The 6,016-nt window shown below is 46.1% G+C and overlaps 1 annotated feature.

The window, feature by feature from the left end:
* Nucleotides 2,051-2,715: an enhancer, noted in NCBI's record as "H3K27ac-H3K4me1 hESC enhancer chrX:54415213-54415877 (GRCh37/hg19 assembly coordinates)". NCBI's record gives its function as "activates a minimal SCP1, AML or CMV promoter by ChIP-STARR-seq in naive H9 embryonic stem cells {active_cell/tissue: H9 hESC(naive)}" and the evidence as "EXISTENCE:reporter gene assay evidence [ECO:0000049][PMID:30033119]".

Consider the following 6,016-nt stretch of genomic DNA (forward strand, 5'->3'; position numbering starts at 1 on the left):
GCTAAGATAATTAGCCCGGATTCTTGCTGCCTTCAAGGTAATCTTTTCTGCCTTCTTTTATTTTCTTTCTTGTCTTTCTTTCTTTTTCTTTCTCTCTTTCTTTTCTTTTTTTTTTTTTTTGAGACGGAGTCTCACTCTGTCTCCGAGGCTGGAGAGCAGTGGCACTGTGTCAGCTCACTGCAACCTCCGTCTCCTGGGTCAAGCAGTTCTCCTGCCTCGGCCTCCCGAGTAGCTGGGATTACAGGCATGCACCACCATGCCCAGCTAGTTTTTATATTTTTAGTAGAGACGGGGTTTCACCATGTTGGCCAGGCTGGTCTTGAACTCCTCACCTCAGGTGATCCACCTGCCTTGGCCTCCCAAAGTGCTGGGATTACAGGCGTGAGCCACCGCGCCCGGCCTCTCTCTTTCTTCTCTCTCTCTTTCTTTCAGGCAGACTCTCACTCTGTCACCCAAGCTGGAGTGCAGTGGCACAATCTTGGCTCACTGCAACTTCCGCCTCCTGGGTTCAAGCGATTCTCCTGCCTCAGCCTCCCGAGTAGCTGGGACTACAGGCTTGTGCTACCACAGCTGGCTAATTTTTGTATTTTTAGTAGAGACAGGGTTTTGCCATGTTTGCCAGGCTGGTCTCGAACTCCTGGCCTCAAGTGAGCTGCCTACCTTGGCCTCTCTCGCCTCGCCTTGCCGCGCCGTGCCTCTTTCCTTCTCGTTTTTTTTTGAGATGGAGTTTCACTATGTCCTCCCACCTCAGCCTCCCAAAATGCTGGGATTACAGATGTGAGCGACTGCACTCGGCCTAAGGTAATTTCTTCTTTGAGACCACTAGTGTCTTTTACTGCCACCCCAACAGATTTTCAAAACTTTAGATCTACGGAAGAAGAGATTGGATTCTTGGCCCCTTCCTTCTCAGAAATCCCCTTGCTTTCTTATGCAAATTCATCTACTCTCTCCCCAAGACTCTCCAGAACTCTGAAAATTGCTATACCTGTAATCTCGACTACTCAGGAGGCTGAGGTGGGAGGATTGCTTGAACCCAGGAGGCAGAGGTTGCAGTGAGCCAACATCACGCCACTGCACTCTAGCCTGGGCGACAGAGCGAGACTCTGTCTCAAAAATAAAAATAAAACAAAAGAAAAAATCATTGTTATTCCTTGCCTAAGAGTGCCTTCTTGCCTTCAATTTACATAACTAAGAGAACTAGCCAAATGATTTTTCTTTTCTTTTTTTTTTCTTTTTTCTTTCTTTCTTTCTTTTTTTTTTTTTTTTTTTTGAGACATACCTCTTTCAGGAATCTGCAGAGGTTATAAGCCAAGGATTTGGGTCATCTCATCTATCCCCTGAATTACCTAACAACGTGTAAGGGCAAGAGAGAGGAGTATCCAGTTTGACCTCATCTTAACTTGATTACATCCACAAAGGCCCTGTATCCAAATAAGGTCACATTCACAGGTATAGGCAGAGAGGGGGTTAGGATTCCAACTTATCTTTTTGCAGCATACAATTCAACTCACAACAGAGGCCAACACTCACTAAACACCAGCATGTTGTCAAGGGTTATATCTCTTGCTGCTTTCAATGTTTGAGGTGCTAGAATTATGCTGTCTTCTGTATAGAAGTTCCACCTCCTCCACTTTTGTCCCCCTGTGCCTTATAGGGTCCCTTGTAAAACCAGCTCCTCATATTCTGCCTGAAACCTCTTTCTCTGCAGGGTTCAGACACCAATCCACAAGGCTAATGAGGTGACAGACAATACCTAAAGCAGGCCAGGAGTGGTGGAACATGCCTGTGATCCCAGCTACTCGGAAGGCTGAGGCATGAGAATTGCTTGAACCCAGGAGGCAGAGGTTGCAGTGAGCCAACATCGTGCCACTGCACTCCAGCCTGGGTGACAGAGTGAGACTCTGTCTCAAAACAAAACAAAACAACAACAACAACAAACTCTAAAGCAGAGTGGTCAAGAGTGTGAGCTCTGCTGTTAGACCTTCTGGATCTAGTAGCATGTATAATATTTGTTAAACTATTTAATCTTAAGCCTTAGACTCCTTATATTGAAAGTTGGGGCCGGGCTCAGTGGCTCACGCCTGTAATCCCAGCACTTTGGGACGCCAAGGTGGGCGGATCACCTGAGGTCAAGGAGTTCGAGACCAGTCTGGCCAACATGGTGAAACCCCGTCTCTACTAAAAATACAAAAATTAGCCGGGCGTGTTGGTGGGCACCTGTAATCCCAGCTACTCGGGAGGCTGAGGCAGGAGAATGGCTTGAACCCGGGAGGCGGAGGTTGCAGTGAGCCGAGATCACGCCACTGCACACACTGGCCTGGACAACAGAGTGAGACTCTGTCTCAAAAATTAAAAAAAGAAAGCACAAATCTTAAGTGGTGATTCAGTGAACTTTAACAAATGCATGTATCTGAATTTACCAAACCCCTATAAAGACACAGAACATTACCATCAACCCAGAAAGTTATTTCACACCTCTTCTCAATCATCCACCCCTAGCCAGGCATGGTGGCTCATGCCTGTAATCCCAGCACTTTGGGAGGCGAGGTGGGAGGATTGTTTGAGCCCAGGAGTTAGAGGCCAAGCTGGGCAACATAGTGAGACCTCGTCTCTACAAAAAAAAAAAAAAAAATTGTTATTTTAAAGACAGAGTCTCACTCTGTTGCCCAGGCTGGAGTACAGTGGTGCAATCTCAGTTCACTGCAACCTCCACTTCCCAGGTTTAAGCCATTCTTGTGCCTCAGCCTCCCAAGTAGCTGGGATTACAGGTGTGCACCATCATGCCTGGCTAATTTTTGTATTTTTAGTAGAGACGGGTTTCATTACGTTGGCCAGGCTGGTCTTGAGCTCCTGACCTCAGGTGATCTGCCCGCCTTGGCTGCCCATAGTGCTGGGATTACAGGTGTGAGCTACCATGCCTGGCCAAAAAAAAAAAAAATTACTGAGGTATGGTGGAGTATGCCTGTCGTCCTAGCTACTCAGGAGGCTGAGCTGGGAGGCCTGCTTGAGCTGAGGATCTTGAGGCTGCAATGAGGTGTTTATGCCACTGCACTACAACCTGAGTGACAGAGCAAGATTCTGTATCAAAAGAAGAAAAATTATCCAGCCTCTGCCTCCAGGCCCCAGACACTGTGGGCAACCACTGTTCTGATTTTTTTTCCACAAGAAATTAGCAGTTTTGTCTGTTACAGAACTTCATGTAAATTGAATCATATACTATGTATTATTTAATTAGTGTAAAACTTCTTGCACTCGGTCTTTTTTTTTTTTTTTTGAGACAGGGTCTTGCTCTGTCACTCAGAAGTGAAGTGTAGTGGTGAAGTGTAGTGGTGCGATCTTGGCTCACTGCAACCTCCATCTCCTGGGCTCAAGTGATAGTCCTGCTTCAGCCTCCCAAGTAGCTGGGGCTACAAACGCGCCTCAAGATGCCTGGCTAATTTTTGTATTTTTTGTAGAGGGGAGGTTTCGTCGTGTCGCCCAGGCTAGTCTCAAACCCCTGGGCTCAAGTGAACCACCTACCTTGGCCTCCCAATGTGCTGGGATTACAGGCGTGAGCCACTGTGTCTGGCCCACTCAACCTTTATACTGTTGAATAGTATTCTGTTATATGAATATACCATAGTTTGTTTATCTATTTTCGCATTGATGGACATCTAAGCTGTTTCCAGTTTGGGGCTGTTATGAATAAAGCTGTGTGGTAGGCAACCTTCAAAGTGGCCCCAAATGATTCCTGCCCCCTGGTATGTATGGCCTTGTAGATCCACCCCTTCATGCCTTCAGATCAGCCCATAATCCCAGACGATGCCTTAATTGCAGCCCCGAGACACCCTGAAGCACAAGTATTCACGTTCAGTATGTCTGGATCCACAGAAACTGTGAGATAATAAATATTTGTTGTTTTAAGCTGCTAAGTTTTGGGGTAATTTGTTATGCAGCAGTGGATAATACAACAGCTATGAACATTCTTGTAAAAGTCTTTTTCTGGACATGTGTTTTAATTTATCTTGCTATGAATCTAATTTTACTAGGCATTGCTGAATTAATCTCCAAAATGGTTGTGCCAATTTATACTCCCACCATTAACATCTGAGTTCCCTTTTCTTCACTTTCTCACAAATACTTGGTATTACCAGAGTTACTTAATTTTTTTTAAATTTTATTAATTTTGACCAGGCTTAGTGGATCACGTCTGTAATCCCAGCACTTTGGGAGGCCAAGGCGGGTGGATCACCTGAGGCCAGGAGTCCAGCCTAGCCAACACAGGGAAACCCTGTCTCTACCAAAAAATACAAAAATTAGCCAGGTGTGGTAGCATGCGTCTGTAGTCCCAGCTACTCAGGAGGCTGAGGCAGAAGAATTGCTTGAACAGGGGAGGCGGAGGTTGCAGTGAGCCAAGATCGCGCCGCTGCACTTCAGCCTGGGTGACAGAGTGAGACCTTGCCTCAAAAAAAAAAAAAAAAATTATGCCAGGCACGGTGGCTCATGGCTGTAATCCCAGCACTTTGGGAGGCCGAGGCGGGTAGATCACCTGAGGTCGGGAGTTCAAGACCAGCCTGACCAACATGGAGAAACCCCGTCTCTACGAAAAATACAAAATTAGCCGGGCCTGGTGGCGCATGCCTGTAATCCCAGCTACCCGGGAAACTGAGGCGGGAGAATTGCTTGAACCTGGGAGGTAGAGGCTGCGGTGAGCCAAGATTGTGCCATTGCACTCCAGCCTGGGCAACAAGAGCGAAGCTCCATCTCAAAAAAAAAAAATTAATTTTGCCAATTTGATGGTTGTGAAATATTACCAATCAAATTGCTTTGAGGTAAGAATAAGTCCCATCTCCTTCACTCTGTGTCATTCTACTTTTAATTTTCCTGATTACTAGTAAGATTTACCATCTTTTCACATGTTTATTGGCTCTTTTGTGTTTCATTCTGTGTGCATTATCTGTTCATATAATTTTCCCACTCTTTTTAGACAGGGTCTTGGTCTGCCACCCAGGCTGGAGTGCAGTGACTCAATCTCAGCTCACTGTAGCCTCGGCCTCCTGGGCTTATGCAATCCTCCCAACTCAGCCTCCCAAATAGCTGGGACTACAGGCATGTGCCACCATGCCTGGCTAATTTTTTTTTTTTTTTTGAGATGGAGTCTCGCACTGTCACCCAGGCTGGAGTACAGTGGCGTGATCTCCACTCACTGCAAGCTCCACCTCCCGGGTTCACACCATTCTCCTGCCTCAGCCTCCTGAGTAGCTAGGATTGCAGGTGCCTGCCACCACGCCCAGCTAATTTTTTGTATTTTCAGTAGAGATGGGGTTTCACTATGTTGGCCAGGCTGGTCTCCAACTCCTGACCTCGTGATCCGCCCACCTCAGCCTCCCAAAGTGCTGGGATTACAGGCGTGAACCACCGCGCCCAGTCTCCTGGCTAATTTTGTTTATATTTTGTAGTGATGAGGTCTTGCTATTTTGCCCAGGCTTTGTTTTCCCATTTTTAAATTGAGTTACCTTTTTTGATTTATGAGAGTTCTTTATATGTAGTGGGTATTCATTATTTGCTGCTATATTTATAGCAATTTTCTTCTCCCATTTGGTGGCTTAATTTTTTATTTTATTTTTTATTTTTATTTTTGAGACAGGATTGCACAGGCTGGAGTATATTGGTGCCATCACAGCTCACTGCAGCCTTGACCTCCCAGGCTCAAGGGATCCTCCTGTCTTACCCTCCCGAGTAGCTGGGACTACAGGTGTGTGTCACCATGCCCATCTAATTTTCCTTTTTATTTTTTTGTAGAGATTGGGTCTCACTATCATAAACCAAAAACAAACTCTAAGCCCCCCAGCCAATTGAATGGACCCCTCCTCTTGGCCAAAGGCATTCCTAAGTTAACCTGAAAAACTAGTTGAGGCCATGATGGGAAGTGGGGGTCCAAAATGCCTCATTATTTTCTCCTCCCATTGGAATTCAGACACAGCTGAGCAGCATTTAACATTAAAACAGAGACCTTAAGTGCTGGGAGCGGTGGCTC

This window comes from Homo sapiens, chromosome X, assembly GCF_000001405.40.
Source record: "Homo sapiens chromosome X, GRCh38.p14 Primary Assembly".
Taxonomy (NCBI): domain Eukaryota; kingdom Metazoa; phylum Chordata; class Mammalia; order Primates; family Hominidae; genus Homo; species Homo sapiens.